This window comes from Homo sapiens, chromosome 5, assembly GCF_000001405.40.
Source record: "Homo sapiens chromosome 5, GRCh38.p14 Primary Assembly".
Taxonomy (NCBI): Eukaryota; Metazoa; Chordata; class Mammalia; order Primates; family Hominidae; genus Homo; species Homo sapiens.
In genome coordinates this window covers 151,359,723-151,384,399 of record NC_000005.10, presented here as the reverse complement: position 1 = coordinate 151,384,399, position 24,677 = coordinate 151,359,723, and the positions used below count along the sequence as shown (strand labels likewise).

The window sequence follows — 24,677 nt, the reverse complement described above, 5'->3', positions numbered from 1 at the left end:
AGATTTCTCTTCCGGCATTGTTTCTTCCTGGCTCACACCTAATATGTAAGAACTGTTTTGGAGGCACCCTGAGTCAGACCTCTCAGGCAAGTAACTAATAATTCATGGAGCACAGATAAGGAAACTGAAAGTGCTTCTAGAGCCAACACCCGGAAAGGAGAGGATACATGTTGGATCTCCCAGAAAGTTAGTTTCAGAGCAAGGACTAGAACACAGGTCTCCTGATGCCCAATCTAGGGTGCAACATGTTATGCAGCTCATACTAGGAGATTTTTTTTTTGGAAGATACAAACATTTTAGAGAGAATAATTTGAAGAATTTCAGAAATGAAGACATTTGCCTTCATGGCATAGGGTTCTTTTTTTTTTGTCACAAAACACTATGATTTTATTAGCAACCACATATGTATCATTTTCCACTACGTTTTACAATGGACTTGTTTCACAGAGAAGGTGAACTAATTCTAATGAAATACCAATAACGTACCTTAAACAAGTAACATGTTGCTGAAAAAAATTTAAGTTAAAGGCTGGGTGCGGTGGCTCACGCCTGTAATCTCAGCACCTTGGGAGGCCGAGGCGGGCAGATCACCTGAGGTCAGGAGTTTGAGACCAGCCTGGCCAACATGGTGAAACCCCGTCTCTACTAATAATACAAAAATTAGCCAGGCGTGATGCCAGGTGCCTGTAATTCCAGCTACTTGGAAGGCTGAGGCAGGAGAATTGCTTGAACCTGGGAGGTGGAGGTTGCAGTGAGCCGAGATGGTGCCACTGCACTCCAGTCTGGGCGACAGAGCGAGTCTCTGTCTCCAAAAAAAAAAAAAAAAAATTTAAGTTAAAATGCACTACATTATGTAGTGCAGAAAAAAAAGTGCAGCTGGCAATTTAAGACATGATAACAATGCTGAATCAGTAGTGTTTGGAGTGATATATTTTGCCCATCTTTGGCCAATCCTAGAGTAGTACTCATCACAAGCTGTATGACAAATGTGAACATCATAAGCTGTACGACAAATGTGAACTAATGAGGCTACAATACTGCAGACCAAATAGAACCATTCTAGAGTCAGTTTCACAATGAAATACTCCACCCCCGGCCTGGAAACAGTGATCTGCTGTCGTTGCTATCCTGCTGTGGCACCTATCCCTGCTGCCGTATTTATTACCAGATCAGGTGTCCTCCAGCCAGCCAGCTTCCAGGACAAGTGGTGCCCAGTGAGTCACAACCCAAAGAGGAACAGCTGCAGGTTACCGATTTGTATTCCTGTACATACTCAACTTGGGTGGCAAGGATTTGCTCATTTAACTTGAATATATTTACTTCTAAAAAGACTGTGGGCCGGGTGCGGTGGCTCACTCCTGTAATCCCAGCACTTTGGGAGGCCGAGGTGGGTGGATCACGAGGTCAGGAGATTGAGACCATCCTGGCTTTAATGCTGTTTTCAGATATCCCCATTCCTAGTTTTAGAGGCAGCCATGGAATATATAGTCTCCTCTGGCCTTGGGGTCAGGAAGAAAGGGAAATCTATTCATAAAAGGAATTTAAATTCTGGCCTTGGCCTCTCAAACATGCTTCAAGTGAAAGATGGCTCAACTAACAGGTTCCTCCAGGCAAAATTATTCTGGTACCAATGACTCACTCATGTTGTCACTCACGGCCATAAAGAGAATGGTTAAAGCAACCTAGGTTTTCTGAGAATCAGATTTGGCGCAATGAGTTGGGGTACTATGTGCCACAATTGATTTCTTTAACACAGGCTCAAGCACATGTGCCCACATGCACACTATGGTTACACACCAGGGCAGAACCTTCTTAACAAGAGAGTCTCCAGCACATCTTTCCAAGATGCTAAGTTGGTGGGGAAAACACACTTTGCACTCATTTGGCTGATGACCTAAGCAGGGTCTGGGAAAAATGCATTTAACCCCATCTTTGATTCCTTGCTTCTATGCTAGAAGACTAACACATCTATCCCTACTGAGCAAGGAGCTTGCCTGGAGTCAGGGCATTCTCATCAAAAGGCATCTTTGATATTTTTGAGCTGGCGCATGGCCAGATCTACAGGGAGGCTGAACTTGAGGCTGCTGAGGCGACTGTGCAGGTTGAGGGCACTCTCAAAGCCTGTGTGTGCTATGTAGCTCCCAGGCTGGTAGTGAGTCTCGATGAGTGACCCGCACTTGCAGATGAGGTTCACCCAGGACATCAGACGCTGCTCATTCAGTGCCATGCACACCAAAGCCTTCAATTCAGAGTCTGCACTGTGCTTGAAAGGGTCGTGCTCTGTCAGCACCATGTGGATGACTGTCAGTAGGCTCTCTTTGGGGGTTACATCAGTGCCTCCTGTAACAGGAAGGGCAAAGACTGGGAGAGCTCCCGGGCTGGGCATAAGCACTGCCATTTTTAGCATGGTAGTACTGTAACCCCCCAAGGGGTTCACCTTGCTGACTGCCTAGACAGAGCAGATTCATCAAGACAAGGGAATTGCGACAGAGAAAGAGTAATTCACACAAAGCTGGCTTTGCGGGAGACCAGTCTTATTATTACTCAAATCGGTCTCCCCAGGCATTTAGGGGCAGTTTTTAAGGATAACATGGTGGGTAGGGGGCGGGGCCAGTGAGCCAGGAGTGCTGATTGGTCAGGGTTGAAATCACAGGGAGTCAAAGCTGTCTTCTTGCACTGAGTCAGTTCCTGGGTGGGGGCCACAAGATCAGACAAGCCAGTTTATCAATCTGGGTGGTGCCAGCTGATCTGTCAAGTGCAGGGCCCACAAAATATCGCAAGAACTGATCTTAGGACCAGTTTATGGAGGGTCAGAATCTTGTAGCCTCCAGGTGCATGACTCTTAAACCATAATTTCTAATCCTGTGGCTAGTCTAGTCCCCAGATAAGAAGGAGGTCTGCTTTGGGAAAGGGCTGTTACCATCTTTGTTTAAACTATAAACTGCAAACTAAGTTTCTTCCATAGTTAGTTCAGCTTGTGCCCAGGAATGAACAAAGATGGCTTGGGGGTTAGAAGCAAGATGGAGTCAGTTAAATTAGATCTCTTTCACTGTCTCAGTCATAATTTTACAAAGGCGGTTTCAGTACTTTACAAAGAGCTCCCAGGGGTGCATGGGCTCAGGGGCTGAGGAGAAGGCTGGCAGCAAATGAGCAATAGGAGCCATGATGAGGCTCATTCCTGAGGAGGAGGCATATAGTCCATGGGCTAGCAGGTCCCTCACAGCCACCATCAGCTCCTTCCACACAGCCATGGCCAGCTCATCCTTGCCTGCCAGAGAGAGGTCCTGGAGGATGGCAGAGGTGGTGACATGGTCGTGTGGCTGGTGCCTCAAGGCTAGCTGCTTCTCTCTGTCCACTGACACCTCCCGCCTCTTCAACAAGAGAGCATAGTCTGTCAGCCTGGCCCCTCTGTTATAGGGTTGGAGGGATCTGGCCTGTCACACAACCAAATTAGCTAACAGCAAAATCTGGAGCATTGCCAATGCTTGCGGCATCAGGTGCAGCCCCGTCCCTTGGACTTTCTTCACATCCCTTGCCTTTGTTTTGCTGTGTCCTGGAGGCAGTGGGTCTGCTGCTGCCAGTTCTGGTGGAACCATTTCCTGTCTTCCCAGAGGCCTTGCGCTCACAATGTCCACCATCTGTCTGCAAGGGGCTTCCCACTTCATCTTGGATGAGGTCGATGGACATCTAGAGGTCTCCGATCTGAGTTTTCAGTTGCTCAACCAACTGATCTTTGACTAGGGCTGGGTTGACGATGTGAGCCACTACTGCATCTACAAACTGACGAAGTTCTTCAGTGGACAGGGAACTGATGTCCTCATTCAGACGCATGTCCAGTTTCTTTATTAACTTGTCTAGGATCACCCACTGTCTTTCCAACACACGAACTGCCGCAGGGCATCATAACTGCTCTTGGATAGGCACATGTTTCCAAGTCATCTAGCTAGGTCTTGAGCTACAGTATCCATTCTTTCTGCTTCTTCCTTTGGGTTTCCACACGCTCTTGTTTTTCCTGCTCACTCTGGTCCTCGCCCCACAACTGTGGCCGGTCTCCTGGCAGCTAATTTGTATGTTTTTGGTAGAGAGGGCGTTTCACCACGTTGGCCAAGCTGGTCTCGAACTCCGGACCTCAGGTGATCCGCCCGCCGCAGCCTCCCACCTAGGGTTCTTTTTAACATTTCCTTATTATCCTTTTAATGTCAATAGGATCTAGAGTGATGTCCTATTTTTCATTTCTGATATTGGTAATCTGTGTCTTCTTGTCTTTTCTTTCTTGAATAGTCTGGTAGATTTTATTGATCTTTTCAAACAAATAATTTTCTGGTTTATTAATTTTCCTGTATCGTTTTTACACTGTTTTCAATTTTGTGCATTTTTTCTTCTTTTTCTCCCCTTCACCTTGCTTTGAGTTAATTTTTTTTTCTAGTTGCTTGACATCAGAGTTTAGATTATCGATTAGAGACCTATTTTCTTTTCTAATATAAGCACTTAATGCTATAATATTTCTTGTATGCCTGCATTAATATAGTTGCTAGCCACATTGAGCGCTTGAAATGTGACTAATCTGAATTGAGACGTGCCATAAGTATAAAATAAATATTAGATTTTAAAACTGTAGTACAAAACATGTAAAATATTTTAATAGTTTTTATATTGTTACACATTGAAAGAGTAATATTTGGGGTATATTGTGTTAAGTTAAATATAATGTTAAAATTTACCCCAGAGAGGGCAAGCAGGTCCCTGTGGCCACAATTAAAGTGAAGAGCGCCGGGCACGGTGGCTCATGCCTGTAATCCCAGCACTTTGGGAGGCCGAGGCGGGCAGATCACCAAGGTCAGGAGTTCGAGACCAGACTGACCAAAATGGCAAAACCCCATCTCTACTAAAAATACAAAATTAGCTGGGTGTGGTGGCGCATGCCTGTAATCCCAGCTACTTGGGAGGCTGAGGCAGGAGAATCGCTTGAACCCGGGAGGCGGAGGTTGCAGTGAGCCAAGATCGTGCCATTGCACTGCAGCCTGGGCAACAAGAGCAAAACTCTGTCTCAAATAAATAAATCAATAAATAAGAAAACCTATAAATTTCAATTAAAGTAGGAAAAAAACATCGCCTACTTGGCTCATAAAATGGTATCCAGGCAGTGAGGCAGCAGGAGGGCCAACGTTAGGCTGGCTCAGCAAGAGACAACACAAAGATGGAGCCAGAGAATGGTCTGAGTCTGCAAATTCTGCCACCATTGAGGAGACTATAGGCTTAAGGACATTACCACTGCCAGGCTGGGGGCCTGGGCTTCTCTCCCCATTCTCAGCTTTCCTGACCCTGTGCAAGCACCTCCCCACCTGGGAGAAATTTCCAGGGCTTGGGCTTTGCCAACTCTGACCCAATTTTGATTATTTATTGTGTAATTTATTATTGTTCCTGTGAAAAGGCCACACATCTCCTCTCTTCTTCCGAGAGATACGGGTGTCCATCCATTGGCTCCACGGTCCAGCCTGCTGGGTGAGTGCAGCATGGCCCTCCCCTTCTGGCCCTCAGGCCCAGGTGGCTGTGTGCCAGCCAAGTGACAGTGGCTGCTCATGGCAGTGGCAGGGGGTGGGTAGAGGTGGCAGGTGGCCCAGCAACCTCCTTTTCCTCAACTCCTCCAACCACCACCCACCTCTCACCCTCCCCGGTGTCAAGCGTTTTTATCTGTGGTTGGCGGTGGCAGTAATGGCAGATGGTGGCTGTGGTGCTGGTGGCAGCTACTATGAGAGATGATGAATTCCTCCTTCATGATGAACCAGGCCAGCCTGGAAGATGGTCACCATGACCTCTTCTGCCTGGCTGACTCGACAGGGATTAAATGGAAAAGATATGTATGGCAAGGCCCAACTTCTGCCCCTATTATGTTTCCCACGACTCAAGGTGACCCTAATTTGAACAGCTTTAATCGCTGCCTTAAGACAGATATAGCTGGTGTTTGGCAGCAAGATCAAATACCTAGAAGAAGAGAATTGTCAATATTTTGGTGGGGCAAAGACCCCAATTTTGCTGACCTTATTTACCAGGATTTAACAGACGAGGAGGATGGAGTATGGGAGAAAAGACTTTACTCTGAATGCCATACTCTGCTTTTCAAAGCAGTTCACAGTCTGTTGGGATGGTGTTTAATGAACCAGAACTTTGTATGTATTGGCAAGTGGTTTGTACAGTCTCATGAAGAAGATTAAAAACCTATAAATAAAAGTGAATGATTGTCCTGCTCTTTCACCTTTTTCTTGCATGGAGACATCAATGTTTGTACCAATGTGGAAATTAGCCAACATCAACCTGTATACCTTCTTAGTGAAGATCACATCACCCTTGCTCAACAGCTTAATAGCCCATTTCCAGTTATCTTAAGCCAATTTGGACTAAATAAAGACCCCACTTAAAAGATAGAGATTACGGGATTGAGCTTTAAAATGAACCAACGGTATGCCACTTATAAAAAACTCACTTTACTGGTAAAGACACTTAGACACTGAAGATTAAAAGATGGAAAAAGATATTCTACATGAACAGAAACCAAAAGTGAGCAGGAGTAGCTATACTTGTATCAGATAAAATAGATATTAAATCAAAAATAGTTAAAAAAGAAGAAAATAATTACATAATGGTGAAGAGATCAATTCAAGAAGAGTATATCGCAATTTAAATATATATGCATCCAACACTGGAGCACCCAAATTTATAAAACAAGTATTACTAGACCTAAAGAAAGAGACAGCAGGCCGGGCGCGGTGGCTCACGCCTGTAATCCCAGCACTTTGGGAGGCCGAGACGGGCGGATCACGAGGTCAGGAGATCGAGACCATCCTGGCTAACACGGTGAAACCCCGTCTCTACTAAAAATACAAAAATTAGCCGGGCATGGTGGCGCGCGCCTGTAGTCCCAGCTACACGGGAGGCTGAGGCAGGAGAATGGCGTGAACCCGGGAGGCGGAGCTTGCAGTGAGTCGAGATCGCGCCACTGCACTCCAGCCTGGGCGACAGAGCGAAACTCCGTCTCAAAAAAAAAAAAAAAAAAAGAAAGAGACAGCAATACAATAATAGTGGGGGACTTCAATACCCCACTCATAGCATTAGACAGATCACTGAGACAGAAAATCAACAAAGAAACACTAGACTCAAACTGGACTCTAGGCCAAATGGACCAAATAATATTTACAGAACATTCTACCCAACAATTGCAGAGTATACATTCTTATCAGCACATGGAATATTCTCCAAGACATATTGTATGTTAGTCCACAAATCAGTCTCAATAAATTTTTAAAAACTGAAACCCTATGAAGTGTCTTCTCAGACCACAGGGAAACAAAACTAGAAATCAATACCATGAGGAACTTTCAAAACTATCCAAATACATGAAAATTAAACCATATGTCCCTTAACGATCTTTGGGTCCATGATGAAATTAAGATGGAAATTTAAAATTTTTTTGGCCGGGTGCGGCGGCTCATGCCTGTAATCCCAGCACTTTGGGAAGCCGAGGCAGGTGGATCACCTGAAGTCAGGAGTTCGAGACCAGCCTGACCAATATGATGAAACCCCATCTTTACTAAAAATACAAAAATTAGCCAGGTGTGGTGGCATGTGCCTGTAATCCCAGCTACTCAGGAGGCTGAGACAGGAGAATCACATGAACCTGGGAGGCAGAGGTTGCAGTGAGCCAAGATCACACCATTGCACTCCAGCCTGGGCAACAAGAGTGAAACTCCATCTCAAAAAAAAAAATTTTTGAAATGAATGAAATGGATATACAACATAATTCTGAGATATATAAAAAAAGTAGTGCTAAGAGGGACGTTTATAGAGTTAAATGCCTACATCAAAACAAAATAGAAAGATCACCAATTAACAACTTATTATCACACCTCTGGGAACTAGAAAAACAAGAACAAACCCAACCCAAAGCTAACAAATGAAAAGAAATAATAAAGATTAGAGCAGAACTAAATGAAATTGAAAACAAAAAAAGATAAAAAGGATCAACAAAACAAAAAGTTGGTTCTTTGAAAAGATAAGCAAAATTGACAAACTTCTAGCTAGACTATTTATTGATTTATCTAATCAATAACTGTGATTTATCACATAAACAGAATTAAGGACAAAAACAATATGATTATCTTAATAGATGAAGAAAAATAATTTTATAAAATCCAGCATTCCCTCATGATAAAAACCCTCAACAGAATAGGCAAAGAAGGAACATACCTCAAAACAACAAGGGCCGTATACAACAAACCCATGGCCAATACCATACTGAACAGGGAAAAGTTTAAAGCAATCTCCCTAAGAACTGGAGTAAGACAAGAATGCCCACTCTCACCATTCCTATTCAACATGGTACTGGAAGTCCTTGCCAGAGCAATCAGGCAAGAAAAAGAAATAAAGGCATACAACTGGGAAAGGGAAGTTAAAGTACCTCTGTTTGATGATAATATGATCTATGTCTAGAAAAACCTAAAAATTCCTCCAAAAACAAAAAACTCTTAGGTTTGATTAATGAATTCAGCAAAGTTTTAGGATACAAAATCAATATACAAAAATCAGTAGCATTTCTATATGCCAATAACAATCAAGCTGAGAACCAAATCAAGAAGGCAATCCCATTTACATTAGCTACAAAAAATAAAATACCTAGGAATATATTTAACCAAGGAGGTGAAAGATCTCTACAAGGAAAACTAGAAAACACAGTTGTTAAAATGACTATACTGCCCAAAGTGATCTAGAGATTCAATGCAATCCCTATTAAAATTCCATGCTCATTCTTCACAGAATCAGAAAAAAAAACCTTAAAATTTATATGGAACCCCTCCCCCAAAAGCCCAAATAGCCAAAGCATCCAAAGCAAAAAGAATAGAGCTGAAGGCACCACATTACCTGACCTCAAATTATACCGCAAGGCTATAGTAACCAAAACAGCATGACACTGGTATAGAAATAAACACAAAGACCAATGGAACAGAATAAAGAACCCAGAAATAGAGCCACATGTCTATAGCCAAATGATTTTTGACAAAGTTGACAAAAACATACACTGGAAAAAGGATACCCTTTTCAATAAATGATGCTGATAAAATTGGATTGCCATATTCAGAGGAATAAAACTGGACCCCCTATCTCTCACCATATACAAAAATCAACTCAAGTTGGATTAGAGACTTAAACATAAGACCTGAAACTATTAAAATGCTAGAAGAAAACCCAGGGAAAACACTTCTGGACATTAGACTAGGCGAAGAATTCATGACTAAGACCTCAAAAGTACAGGCAACAAAAACAAAAATAGACAAATGGGACTTAATTAAGCTAAAAAGCTGCTGCACAGCAAAATAATAATTAACAAAGTGAACAGACAATCTGCAAGATAGGAGAAAATATTTGCAAACTATGCATCCAACAGGGGACTGATATCCAGAATTTACAAGGAATTGAAACAACTCAAAAAAAAAAAAAACCCCAACATTAATAACTCCATTAGAAAGTTGCCAAATGACATATGTAGACATTTCTTAATATGAAAAAATGTTCAACATCACTAATCATCAGAGAAATGCAAATTAAAACCACAATGAAATATCACGTTACACCAGTCAGAATGGCTATTATTAAGAAATCAAAATATAACAGATGTTGGCAAGGAGCAGAATAAAAGGAATGCTAATACATTGTTGTATTTGCATTAGAGAATGTAAATTACTACAGCCTCTATGAAAAAGTATGGAGATTTCTCAAAAAAACTAAAAATAGAACAATCATTTGATCCATCCACTACTGGCTATCTACCCAGAAGAAAAGAAATTATTTTATGAAAAATATACCTGCACTAGCATGTTTACTGCAGTGCTATTCACAATAGCAAATATACAGAATCAACCTAAGTGTCTGTCAATGGATGAATGGATAAACAAAATGTGATATATATATACACACACACATACACATACACATTGAAAGGTTCTTGTATCGGTTCGAACCCCAAGAGCGCACCAACAGACAACACGAGGTGGTGTGGAGCAACATGCTGTTTTAATGAGCTCCTGGGTGCAGGCGGCCTGAGGCCTAAAATGGCATCAGCCCCAAGTGAGGACAGGACAGGGGTTTCATAGTCCTCTGTAAACAGGAAGTGTCCCAGTCTGACATGACTGGTACCTAGTACCCAGACGGACTCTTTCTCGATCTTCAGGGGTACGTGTCTTCTGGCCAGGGTAGGTGTCTTCCGGCCAGGGTAGGTGTCCTCCAGCCAGCTCTCTTCCTGCTTCTGCTATCTTGCTGACGCACGCTGCTGGTGCAAGGGCCTTGCACCTTGGACTAGGCCTGAGAAGGAAGGTGTTATTCATCCCTTCAAGTTTTCAGGCCCCGGGGAGAATCTTTCACGCATACATACACACCAGCCCATAGGCCATAGTTTGCTTGTCTCTGCTTTAATCAAATCTCTTTTAGAGCAATTTAAAATAAAGAAGAACAGGCTGAGCACAGTGGCTCATACCTGTAATCCCAGTGCTTTGAGAGGCCCAGGGAGGAGGATTGCTTGAACCCAGGAGTTTGAGGTTGCAGTGAGCTATGACTGTGCCACTACTCTCCTGAGCAACAGAGCAAGACCCTGTCTCTAAAACAATTTTTTTAAAAGTTAAAAATAAGGAAAAACTATCTTTTATACTTTAACCATCTCCAAAGATTGTCATTTCTTTTTATAGATGTAAGTTTCTGTCTGGAATAATATTTCTTCTTCCTGAAGAATTTAACTTTTATAGAACAGATCTGCCAGTAATTATCTTAGTTTTCATTTGTTTTTTTAAAAAAAGGCTTTACTTCTCCTTCATTTTTGCAAGATATTTTCTCTGGGTTGACAATGTTTTTGTGTAAACACTGACAAGCTATCACTTCAATGTCTTCTGATTTGCATAATTTCTGATAACTTTAATTCTTATATCTGTTTCTCTGTATCTAAATGTCTTTTTCCCTTGGCTGCTTTCAAGGTTTTCCCTTTATTTTTTATTTACATCAGTTTGAATATGATGTGTCTAGGCAGGTGTGTGTGTGTGTATTGTGTTGGTCCTTATCCTCTTTATTTTGGTATTTTTCTCTGCACTTTTTTTTTAGACGAGGTCTCATGATGTTGCCTGTGCTGGCCTCAAACTCCTGAACTCAAAACATCCTCTTGCCTTAGCCTCCAAAGTAGCTGGGACTACAGGCATACACCACTGCACTCGGCTCTGAACTTTTTGATCTATAGTTTTATGTCTTTTATTATTTTTTGAAAATTTTTGGCCATTATTTCTTTTTTTCTTCAAATATTTATTTTATATTTTTTAATAGAGATGGAGGAGTCTCACTGTGTCGCCCAGGCTGGTCTTGAACTTCTGAACTCAAGTGATCCTCTTACCTCATCTTCTCAAAGTCAAATATTTCTTTTGCCACATTCTGTCTTCTTCATCTGGGATTCCAATTACTCATATGTTAAACAGTTTGACATTGTCCCACAGCTCTTGGATGTTCTAGTTTTTTCACTCTTTTTTTCTGTTTATATTTCAGTTTGGATAATTTTTATTGACCTATCATCAAGTTCACAGATTATTTCCTTGTCTTCATTGAGTCCACTGATAACTTTATCAAAAGAATTCTTAGTGGTGGCTCATGCCTGTAATCCCAGCACTTTGGGAGGCCAAGGTAGAAGGACTGCTTGGGGCCAGAAGTTCAAGATAAGCCTGGGCAACACAGCAGGACCCCGTCTCTAAAAATATATATATATGAAAATAGATGGGCGTGGTGACATGCACCTGAAGTCCTAGCTACTTAGGAGGCTAAGGCGGGAGGATCAGTTGAGCCCAGGAGTTCCAGGACGCAGTGCATTGTAATTGTGCCACTGTACTCTAGCCTAGGGAACAAAGTGAGACCTTGTTTCTAAAAAAAAAAAAAATTTTTAATGAATTATTTGTCTCTGTTACTATTTTTTTATTACTCACATTTCCATTTCACTATTTTGTATGATTTCCATCTCTCTGATGAATTTTCCATTTGTTCACACATGCTGTCCAAATTAATTTTAGAAATACCATGAAGTATCAAAAACAGTCATGTCCCTCAACTCCCAGCATGCTGGGAAGGTGGGAAGCCTTCTTGGGTTTGATTCTGTCTTGAGAGTATAGCCTTTTGTAGAGAAAGACCAGGACAACAACTGAGAGACTCTGTGCTAGAGTCCCAGAATCTCAGAATTCTAGAAGCTTGTAGTTTTGGAATTACGGAAACTAGGGTTCCAAAAAATATTTCATAAGATTTTAGAGTTGAATTTTAGAGGTTGAACATTGCCAGAGATGGGAGTTCACCAAACTCACAAGGCAGCTAAGGCCAAAGGGAAGCTGTCTTCCTTTGGGTAGAATAATGTTGTTAATGTGCTATTAAAAGGAGGCCAGTTCCCATCCAGAGTGTAACAGTCACAACAAAAGCAGAATCTCCCTCCCCTTTCCCTGTCTCCCGCTCCCATAAACACCAGAGTGAGATAGCCCCAAACCTGAAAAGAAAAACCAAGGAAGATCAGTACACATTTATCCCCTTTAACATGTTTGTAATGCTATTAGGTAGAAAGTTTTAGTTTCTTCCAAAACGAAAAAGGAAAATATTTTTTTAAAAAACTAAAAACTAAAAGAAGAGTGTTTTTAAAAAAAATCCTATTCACTAGCCTTGTTACACATCCTTTTTCTAAAATTTGCTTTTCCAAATTTCTGTTGATAGTGGGAGTTGATAACAAGATAGAATATTAGAAATTCTTTTAACTTCACTAAGTCTCAATGACCTCATCTCTAAAGTAGAATAAATTTCTGTTCTGTCTCCCTATTAAGCTTTAACATATTATAATGTGACATCAAAAAAAGCTAATGAGATATCATTAGTGAGAAAGGTAGGTAGTAGGACAATATTACAGTGCAAGGTTGTTTGTAAAAGTGAATATGTGTGTGTCTAGGGCTAGGGGGATAATAGTTGATCTCTGGCTGGTAGAATTATGTATATGTTTGTTTTCCATTTGCTTGTGTACATTTTCTCATTTTTTACAATGAATATAGTTTATAGAAAATTAAAGTACATAAGAACTCCAAAGTTCTATACAAATACAAGAAATGATTGTCAGTGGTCCATGCAAGGTCTCTAGCTGAATTTATTTATTTATCTTCCCCTTGTATTTATGCCAGTGGTTCTCAATGTCCCTCCTCCACCCCTGGAGGACATTTTTCAATGTCTGGAGACACTTTTTGATTGTTACATAAGGGAGGTGTGCTACTGACGTCTAGTAAGTACAGGCCAAGGATGCTGCTAAACGTTCTACAATGCACAGAATGATAACTCCACTTAGAAGCAATTTATTTTATTATTATTATTATTTTGAGACAGAGCCCTGATGCCCAATCTGGAGTGTAGTACTGCGATCTTGGCTCACTGCAACCTCCGTCTCCCGGGTCCAAGTGATTCTCCTGCCTCAGCCTCCCAAGTAGTTGGGATTACAGGCGCCTGCCATCACGCCCGGCTAATTTTTGTATTTTTAGTAGAGATGGGGTTTCACCATGTTGGCCAGGCTGGTCTCAAACTCCTGGCCTCAACAGATCCGCCCGCCTCAGCTTCCCAAAGTGCTGGGATTACAGGCGTGAGCTGCCGCGCCCAGCCTAGAAGCAATTTAAATCAGATAGTGGTCACAAGCAAGTTGATATTGAGTAAGAAAGTACAGATTTGATATTATAATTTAATGAAAAAATCTTATAAAATACTGAATTTGTTTCCAATATTCTGCTGTTACAAACAATGCTGCAAAGAATATTATTGTATACACATACTTAGGAAATGTGGGAAGGTTTCTTCAAGGTGGATATGAGGAAGTGGTGTATCTGGGCCAAAGGGCATTTCCATCCTTAGTTTTAGTAGTAACTGTAAATCTAACAACATGAATGGAGCCTAACAAAAAAAAAAAGGAAGAAACAGAATGAAATTCTAATGTGGTATCATTTATATTCATTAAGCATATACAACAACAACACAATAATATGCAGCATTGCATGAGTACCTATAAGATAATATACACTAAATACATCAGAACTGTTATCTGTGGTGGGATGATCATATACTGGCTTGGCCCAGACTCTTGGGGAAAAGCTGTCTGCCTCAGATATAATCTGCTTCCAATACAGAATGGTTTTTATTTTTAGTTAACTTCAGTTTTAAATTTCCAGTGAGTTCAGAGAACATTTAGGAACAAAGGCCTTTTTAAAATGAGAAATAAGGCCAGGCACAGTGGCTCACGCCTGTAATCCCAACACTTTGGGAGGTCGAGGTGGGCAGATCACTTGAGGTCAGGAGTTCGAGACCAGCCTGGCCAGCATGGGAAAACCCCAACCCCATCTCTACTGAAAATATAAAAATTAGTCGGGCATGGTGATACACACCTGTAGTCCCTACTACTCCAGAGGCTGAGGCATGAGAATGGCTTGAATCTGGGAGGCGGAGGTTGCAGTGAGCTGAGATCGCACCACTGCATTCCAGCCTGGGTGACAGAGGGAGACTCTGTCTCAAAAAATAAAATAAAAATAAAATGAGAAATATGCCAGGCACAGTGGCTTATGCCTGTAATCCCAACACTTTGGTAGGCTGAGGTGAGAGGATGGCTTGAGGCCAGGAGTTCTAGACCAACCTGGGCAATATAGCGAGACCCTGTATCTACAAATATATTTTAAAATTAGCCAGTCATAGTGGTGTGTGCCTGCCTGTAGGTCCAGCTCTTCAAGAGGCTGAAGCAGGAGGATCACTTGAGCCCAAGAGTTTGAAGTTGCAGTGAGCTGTGAACGTACCACTGTGCTCCAGCCTGAGGGAGTTCAGTCTGGGGTGGGAACAGGTTTAGTTTTTAATTGTTGCATTTGACAGTTCATTACTTGACCAGCTTGAATTTGAAGATCTAATGCACGAATTGCTTTCTTCTCAGCTGCCCTTTCAGGGGTGTGTTAGAGGGATTTTTGGACAGATTAAGCAAGTCAGAGGTTTTCACAGTAGCCCAATTGAGTTGATTTCACTTTACTATCATGTTCTTCTTCCAGTCCACTGATAACAGTTGAATTACAAAGGGAGGTTGTGTAATTTATTTTGCCAAAGCCAGAGTATTGCCTTAAAATTTTCTGTAGTCTATAATGAATTTGTAGACTGGGTCATCTGGTTCTTAGGTGCATTGTTGTATTTTGTTTTTCCAGTCAATAGTTTTTTAGAAAACTTCAGGGATTTGTTTATGGAGATCTTTGCCAATTTTTGAACATCAGTAAGATCAGTCACTCTTCTCTTAGAGAAATCATTTAAAGGGTTATACTAGTCAGCTTTTTCCATCCACGTGTTAGCATGTCCTTCACCAGCAAGCATGCGTATCAGCTGGTAAAGGTTGAAATAGCCAGGCTGGTAGGTTTTGGTAACCAAGTTGAATTATTTAGCAAAGGCATTTAGATTTTCTAAGGGGCCAGGGAAGTCCTTTGTTGCAGCTCTGGGTTCTGCCTTTGTTCAAGGGGACTAAGTTCCTGAAGAGGTCCTTGAGAGTCCTTCATTAGATTTAACCTTAAATGTGGCATGGATAGGACAAGTCATTAGTCACACTCTTAGGATGGGAACTCCCCATGATTGATCACCAAAACAAAGATTCTTTGCAACCAGGGTCACCAGAAAAAAGGAGAAATCTATTGTAAAAGCTGGCAACAGAGGACAACCAAAAAAAGGCCTGAACCTCAGCTAGGGTAAGAAGGTGGTTCAGGACACAAAAAGACTTATCCAGTGAAGTTTGGGGTCATTCGGAGTCAATAAAATGCAAGGAGTTCCCACAGATACTTTTTCTTGGGTATATGGTGGCACAGGAGATCAGAAGGGAGTCACTTTGCATCCCACTTCTGACACCATGTAATGTCAACTAAGAAATAAAACTAACACTGCAGAGTGGCAAACAAAAGAAAACACATTTTAATTAGGGTCTTAGGAATTGCAATTCAAGAGACACAGATCTAGCAAAGCAGCTAAATTATGTTCCATCTAGGCAAGCTTAAGCAGAGGCTTATAAGCGCCACAGTAAGTTTACACATCAGGAAGGTTTTAGCACAGTTTATGATTGATGATGGCAGGTTATCAGCGTAGGATGTCTCTAGTCAATGATCCATCCAGTTTTGGCACACTTTGTGATTGATTATGGCAGGTTATTGGTGTAGGATGTCTTTAGTCAATGATCAATCCAGTTCAGTGTAGCTGAACTCTCCAGGAGGTTGGTGATCAGGCTCAATATAAACAGCTCAAATCAAATGCAGGTGGTTGTATAATTTGGCCTAGTTAAACAGGTTGAATTCCATCTGGATGTGTACATAACTGGGGTCCAACGCCTCCTACCCTCCTGCATCCTTTTTAGAAAGGACACATGTTGGATTTTTCTTTTAACACCCTGCCAAAAGATTCTGTCCCCATAGAGAGTTATTAGCAAGACAAGGAGATTCCCCTCAGTGCTCCTATGAAATGTTTTCAAATGTTCTACTGTTACGGGAAGTCAGGGACCCTGAACAGAGGGACCGGCTGAAGCTGCAGCAGAGGAACATAAATTGGGACAACTTCATCTTATTATGGACATTTTTCAGTTCTCAAATAATACTTTTATAATTTTTTATGCCTGTCTTTAATAAACTCTTAATCCTGTTATCTTTGTAAGCTGAGGATGTACGTCACCTCAGGACCACTGTGATAATTGTGTTAACTGTACAAATTGATTGTAAAACGTGTGTTTGAACAATATGAAATCAGTGCACCTTGAAAAAGAACAGAATAATAGTGATTTTTATGGAACAAGGGAACACAACCATAAGGTCTGACTGCCTGCAGGGTCAGGCAAAAAGAGCCATATTTTTCTTCTTGCACAGAGCCTATAAACGGAGGTGCAAGTAGGAAACATATCGCTAAATTCTTTTCCTAGCAAGGAATATTAATATTAATACCCTGGGGAAAAAAAAAAAAATGCATTCCTGGGGGGAGGTCTATAAATGGCCGCTCTGGGAATGTTTGTCTTGTGCCGTTGAGATAAGGACTGAGATAAGCCCTGGTCTCCCGCAGAACCCTCAGGCTTACTAGGGTTGGGAAAACGCAGCCCTGGTAAATTTGTGGTAAGACCAGTTCTCTGCTCTCAGACCCTGTTTTCTGTTGTTTAAGATGTTTATCAAGACAATACGTGCACTGCTGAACACAGACCCTTATCAGTGGTTCTGCTTTTGCCCTTTGCCCTGTGATCTTTGTTGGACCCTTATCAGTGGTTCTGCTTTTGCCCTTTTTCCTGTTCCCTCAGAAGCATGTGAACTTTGTTAGACCCTTATTAGTGGTTCTGCTTTTTGCACTTTGAAGCATGTGATCTTTGTACCTACTCCTTGTTCTTACACCCCCTCCCCTTTTGAAACCCTTAATAAAAACTTGCTGGTCTGAGACTTAGGTGGGCATCACGGTCTTACCGATATGTGATGTCACCCCTGGCAGCCCAGCTGTAAAATTCCTCTCTTTGTACTGTCTCTCTTTATTTCTCAGCCAGCTGACACTTATGGAAAATAGAACTAACCTACATTGAGATACTGGGGGCAGGTTCCCCCAATATTCTGCCATGCTCGGATTTTAATTGTAAGTGTGTTCCCCTCTGGGGCAAGTGGAAACCAGGTTATCTTCTTCCACTGCAGGTTCCCTGGCCATCCTCATCCCCCATCTGGGCATGGTCCTTACCCAGATGAGCTTGGTGAGCAGCAGCACCCTGCCCCTCATCATCCTGTGCCTCCTGGAGATGACTACCTACTACTCAGAGTGCATGAGCTCCCTCATCATCACCAAGGACGCCCTGATCAGCATCCTGGGCTTTGTGGGATTTTTGGTGGGGACCTTCTAGGCCCTCCATGAGCTGATCCAGCCTCAAGACCTCTCCTCTTTCCAAACTCCACTGGCACCTTGAAACAGTGACCAATTTTCAACTCAACATTTCCCGCTTCACTTCCTAAACTGACATTCTAGCATTGTTTGAACAAAGATCCTTCTTTAATTGCTAATGTGTATATTTATATGGGGCCACCACAGTGTTGGGTGGAGAGTACAGGAGTGGGGTCAGAGGATCTGAGTTCTATTCCTGAGATCTACCATTTACCCCCATCAGATCTGAGTGGGCCACTTCCCCTTGGGAGCCTCAACTTCACAAATTCAGTTAAGTTCAGCCTCACCCACCTCAGAATGTTGTCAGGAATGTCAGGAAGAGTATGTGCACACATACATTTTTAAAAGCTAAGGTGCTCTACAAATGTTGGTGATTTTCATTATTTTACTGTTTTCTCCTATGATGACCAGAAGAGGCATGAACAGGACCCCTTTTTCTCCAAACCAGGCTGGACTACCTCTTGTCCCAATGTCTTGGGAGCTGAGAAAATATTGATGTGTGATCCAGGAGACCTGGTACCACCAGGAGGCACCACCAATGGAGGCACACTGTGGGCCAGGCAACGTACAAAATGCATCCCATACGTTATGCCACTAAATCATCTGCAGAACCCTGTAAGGTAGATGATGTCTTCTCCATTTCACAGAAAAGGACATCTAGGTTCCAAGAAGTTAGGGAACTAGTGCTAACTCATACAGTTAGTAAGGGGTGGAGTCAGATTTAAACACTGGCCTATTTAGTACTGAACCCCTTGTTCATAACCACTAAACCCTGTCCCTGACTCAGCTGCCTGATTTTAGACAAGTGACTTTTCCTCTCTGAGCCTCAGTTTCCCTAGCTGTAAAATGAGAGGGTGGACTAGATGACCTCTGTGGACACTTTCTAAACCATCTTTGCTCTCCCTACTTCAGAAGCTTGTTACCAAGAGTTTGGTTTCCCTGCTGATTGGTGGGGCCAATTGTGACTTTGTCTCCAGCCTCTGTTGCCCCCTGAACTGGCCACTTTCCCTGAGCCTGTCAAATAGGACAGGATTTTTGATGTGTTTGCAATTACTGGGCACCTTAACCAGGTGAAGATGCTGTATGAGCATTAACATCACATCTATATGCCACAGGCAACATCTTGATTCAATAGGAAGAGCACTGAGCAGAGGTTTATAGAAAACTAGATTTTAGTTCCAGGACTACTTCTAGCTAGCTGGAGACAGTGGACCTCCAGTAATGTCCCATCATTGCCTTCTTATCATCTTTCTCTTTCTTCTGGAAACAGTGCCCTGATTTTGCCTTGGGCAACCACCCTTTCTCCACTCTCTAAGTTGTTTTAGAGGAGCAGACTCTACCCCAACTCCAGGAAGTGAGCACATGACCTGGGTTTGGCGAATAAGTACATTCAATCCTCCTGTCCATAATGCTTTGTTCTGAGATGGCCATATAATCAAGGGTTCATGAGCCCTTGGACTTTAATCAGTGATATCAGGAAGAGGGTAATCTTAATGCTAGGGTTAATAAACCCAGATGAACTAACCTGGAACTGAAGTAAACATGTTCCCAGACTGCACAGCAGAAGCATATATCAAGCAGGAGAAAATTATGCCAAGAGATGGAAGAAAAGCCTGTTGGTGTCCTTGGAGCTCCTGCTTCCACTGGTGCCTGATGCAGGTTTCACCTTGTGCTTTCCAGTTACATGGGTCAGTTCCTTTTTGCTTAAGCCACATTCAGTTGGGTTTCCAACATTTGCAACTGAAAGAACTCTGACTAAATCTCTCAGTGACCTTGAGCAAGTTCATTTACTCCTTTTAGGATTAGTTGCCTAATCTGAAGTGAGAGTGTTGAAACTCTAAGATCCTTAATAGTACAAGTATTCTATAATTTAATAGTATAATTAAAATGGGATCTCACTAGAATTACTATGATCAAAGAGGCAGACAATACCAAGATTTGATGAGGATGTAGAGAAACTGGAACCCTCATGCATTGATGATGAAAATCTAAAATGGGACAATCACTTTGAAAAGCAGTTTGGCAGTTTCTCAAAAAGGGAAACATATACAGTTGACCCTTGAACAACATGGGTTTGAACTGTGAAGGTCTATGTATGGATTTTTTAAAATAAATATATTGGAATTTTTGGAGATTTATGGCCATCTTAAAACTTGCAGATGAACCATGTAGCCTAGAAACATTAAAAAATTAAGAAAAGCTAGGTAGGTCATGAGTGCATAAAATATATACAGATATTAGGTTATTTTATCATTCGTTGCCATAAAACACACATAAATCTATTATAAAAGTTAAAATTTATCAAAACTAGCACACACAAGTACTTACAGACCACACACGGTGCCATTCACAGTCAAGAGAAATGTAAACATAAAGATGCAGTATTAAATCATAACTGCATAAAATTAACTATAGTACATACTATACTGTTGTAATAATTTTGTGGATACATCCTGTTGCCATTGTGGTGAGCTCAAGTGTTGCTAGTATCAGCTTATAATACCATGTGACACTAATCATCTCTGCATGAGTTCAGTAGTTCATCTCTCCAGTAAATTGTATGTTACAGTAAAAGTGATCTCTTGTGGTTCTAGTGTATTTTTCACTGTGTTTGGTGCAATCCCATAAATCTTGAATAACACCATGGGATCCATACAAAGTGCCACTAGTGATGCTGGAAGTGCTCCCAAGAAGCAAATAAAATCATGACATTCCAAGAAAAAGTTGAATTGTTTAATATATACTATAGATTAAGGTCTGCAGCTCTGCTTGCCTGTTAATTCAAGATAAATAAATCCAGCGTAAGGACTACTGTAAAAAAAGAAAATGATAAGCTCTGGGGATGATCTGATTCCAAAATGGTGGTGTTGAAGCAAGCTGGCTTCAGTTTCCCCTACAGAAAACCAAAAACAAATATAGAGCACCAAGAGTATCACCAGTGATATCCCAGAACTCAAATATGAGGATTTAACAACTCCCAGGGCCACAGAGAAGTGAAAAGCCATCAAGCAGACAGTAAGACAATCAGATTTCCATATTCATGGCAACCCTCCTTCCAATCTGCCCAGCACCAAGTGTTTGAAAACTCAGACAAAGGAGATGTCAAATCAGAGTGGTTGTTCAGCAGCACCACACTGTAGGACATACATTCCACAATTCCCCTGGGCATGAACTCCTAGCCAGCCTTCCCACACTGCGTGGCTATCCCCTTTGGGACCTCTTCCATCTGGGACAGGCAGCCAAGGCAAACCTGGGCTTAATGTGTCATCCAGTGCCAAAACACAGGTAGTGACCTAGTAGGGAAAAAATTCAACAGGTAAATAACAAAGAATCTCTAAGCAAACATAACAAATAAAAACTAAAACAAAGACAGAGAAGACTGAAATAAATAATCGTTCCATACAAAGACATAGGTGTACATCCACAAGAAATAACAGTACACGGGAACCATGACTTCCCCAAACAGACAAAGCAAGGAACCAGTGACTGATCCTAGCAAGACTGTGATATGTGAGCTCTCTGATAAAACATTCAAAAGAGCACTTTTAAGGAAACTCAGTGATCTCCAAAATAATGCAGAAAAGCAATTCAGGAATTTATTAGAGAAATTTAACAAAGAGATTGAGATATTTAGAAAAAAACAACAACAAATCTTTTAACTGAGAAATACATTTGCTGAGCTGAAAAACTCATCAGAGAGTCTCAACAGCAGAATCAATCAAGCAGGGGCTGGGCTCTGTGCCTCACGCCTATAATCCCAGCACTTTGGGAGGCTGAGGCAGGGAGATCGCCTGAGGTCAGAAATTTGAGACCAGCACAGCCAACATGGTGAAACCTCATCTCTACTAAAAATACAAAAATTAGCTTGGCATGGTGACATGTGCCTATAGTCCCAGCTATTCGGGAGGCTGAGGCAGGAGAATTGCTTGAACTTAGGAGGCGGAGGTTGCAGTGAGCTGAGGTTGCCCCACTGCACTCCAGCCTGGGAGGCAGAGTGAGACTCCATCTCAAAAAAAAAAAAAAAAAAAGAAGAATCAATCAAGCAAAGGAAGAATCAGTAAGCTTGAAGACAAACTAAAGGAAATAATAGAAGAAGGATCAATACTATATAGAAACAGTGAGCTTGGAGACAGGCTATTTGAAAACACACAGAGGGGGAAAAAAAGAAAACAGAATGTCTACAAGATATTAAAAAATTATCTCAAAAGACCAAATCTAAGAAGTAATGGTGTTCAAGAGGTAGTTGAGCAACAGCAAGGGGTAGAAAGCTTATTAAAAAATAATAACAGAAAACTTTTCAAAAGTTGAAAAAGATAAATATTCAGGTATAAGAAGATCAGAGAACACAAACAGATTCAACCCAAATAAGGCTACCCAGGCTTATGATAATCAAACTCTCAAAAGTCAAGGACAGAGAGAGGATTCTAAATGCAGCAAGAGAAAAGCAAACAATGTATAAAGGAGCTTCAGTTCATCTTGCAACAGACTTCTCAATGGAAACCATATAGGCCAGGAGGCAATGGGATAACATTTTCAAAGTGCTGAAAGAAAAAAAAACTGTCATCCAAGAATACTACTTCCAGCAATGCTATTTTTCAAATATGAAGAAGTCTTTCCCAGATAAACAGAAGATGATAGAATTTACTACCACCAGACCCATCTTATAAGAAATACTAAGCAGCTTCTTCAGCATGAAAGAAAAAAACACTAATATCTAAAAAGAAAACATTTGAAGCTATAAAACCTACTGATAAAAGTAAGTACCCAGACAAACCCAAAATATTTAAATACTGTAATTGTGGTATGCAATCCACTCATAACTCTAGTATGAAATTTTAAATACACCATCTGAAAGCAGAAGGTTTTGTCTGTTTAACAAGCACTTATGTTAACAATTTGGGCAGTTGCAGAACATGATTACTTCAATTTCTCTCACTATTTTTGACTCTAAAATATCTTATATCTGGGCACTAAAATGTTCTTCTTTAGTAGATATTGGACTGATATAAGAAATATATTATTTTTAAAGCAATATAAGATGTTTCGAGTTGTTTGTTCAGCTCAATAAAGAATACAATGTTGCTAATAAGTTAAATGCTAATTACAGTTAGTAACTTTCATCATATTGTCCAATTATATCATTGTGAAAATGAATTCAGCCTCTACACCAGGGGTCTCAACGAACTTTAAGGCTCACTACACATAGTACTCTATGGAAAGTATTGTCAGTGCTATGGAAGAGAGTGCTGATAGAATATCATCAAAATGTGAAAAGATTACACCATTGAAGATGCCATTGTGGTTATAGAAAAAACCATAAAAGCCTGAAACAATAAATTTCTGCAGAAGAAAACTGTGCCTAGATGTTGTACATAACATTACTTTAATGGCCAAAACCATGATTACTTTTGCACCAACCTAATACAACAGAGCCAATCAAGGAAATAAAAAAAGAGATTGTGGATGTGACAAAAAAGATGGGGAGTGAAGGGTTTCAAGATATGGATCTTGGAGAAATTCAAGAGCAAATAGACACCATGCCAGAGGAATTAACAAAAGATGACTGGATGGAGATGAGTGCTTCTCAACCGGTGTCAGCTGAGGAGGAAGAAGAAGCAGCAGCAGTGTCAGAAAACTAATTGGCATTTAAAAATCTGACAGAAGGGTTCTGGTGATTGAAGACTGCTTTTGACTTCCCTAACAAAATGGACCTTTCTATGATACAGGTACTGAAACTAAAGCAAAGGACAGAAGAAAGATCAATACTATATAGAAACATTTTAGAGAAATGAAAAAGCAGAAAAAGTCAGACAGAAGTTCAGTGTATTTCTGTAAAGTTACACTGAGTGTGCCTGCCTGTCCTGCCTCCCCTTCCACCTTTTTCCACCCCTGCCACCCCTGAAACAGCACCATTAACCCTCCTTTTCCTCCTCCTCCTCAGCCTACTCAATATGAAGACAATGAAGATGAAAATTACATGATGACCCAACTCCATTTAATGAATAGTAAATATATTTTCTCTTCCTTGTGATTCTCTTAGTAACATTTTCTTTTTTCTAGCTCACTTTATTATAAGAATACAGCATATATAATACATATAACATACAAAGTGTGCGTTAATCAACTGTGTATGTTATTGGTAAGGTTTCCAGTAAATAGTAAACCATTAGTAATTAAGTTTTGGAGAAGTGAAAAGCTATACATGGATTTTCAACTCTCCAAGGAGTCTGTGCTCCTAATCCCTGCATTATCTAAGAATCAACTGTTGAGGATCCACCACTTTAAGCAAAAAATTTTAAAAAAGCTTTAATAAAAATAAAATTTTAAAAAGAATCAAGTATTTGACATACAATGGAACAATTCTACTTATAGGTATTTATACAAGGCAAATGAAAGCATAAAACTTACGTCCACAAAAAACGTGTATGCAAATATTTATGACAACATGACTCATAATAGGCCAAAACTAAAAACCGTCCAGAGATCCATCAACTGGTAAATGGATAAACAAAATGCAGCATACCCATACAATGGAATATCAATCAACAATTAAAAGAAACAAACTATTGGTTTGTTTCTACAGCATGGATGAACCTCAAAACATTCTACAGCATGGATGAACTCAAAAACGTTATGCTAAGTGAAAGAAGCCAAATGCAAACAACCACATGTTGTGTGAATCCATTTATATGAAA

The 24,677-nt window shown here is 40.9% G+C and overlaps 1 protein-coding gene, 1 long non-coding RNA gene and 2 pseudogenes across 7 annotated transcripts in view; 2 read left to right on the top strand and 2 right to left on the bottom strand.

Annotated features, from left to right (window-relative positions):
• The window catches only part of SLC36A1 (solute carrier family 36 member 1), a 211,490-nt gene that overhangs the window by 171,686 nt on the left and 15,127 nt on the right, over nt 1-24,677 (bottom strand). The window lies entirely within an intron of this gene.
• Nucleotides 1-24,677, top strand: part of LOC105378234 (uncharacterized) — an 84,540-nt gene that overhangs the window by 52,539 nt on the left and 7,324 nt on the right. Inside the window, exon 5 of one of the 6 annotated variants that reach the window (XR_007059005.1) lies at nt 17,742-20,684. The exons of 4 other annotated variants lie outside the window; for them this stretch is intronic. This is a non-coding gene — a long non-coding RNA (uncharacterized LOC105378234). Of the gene's footprint in view, nt 1-17,741; nt 20,685-24,677 lie in introns of those variants that run through there. One more of the 6 variants, XR_944425.4, reaches the window with a different exon arrangement.
• LOC100419720 (RUN domain containing 1 pseudogene) lies at nt 1,820-4,061 on the bottom strand (annotated as a pseudogene).
• On the top strand, nt 5,691-6,401 carry LOC100420127 (mediator complex subunit 13 pseudogene; annotated as a pseudogene).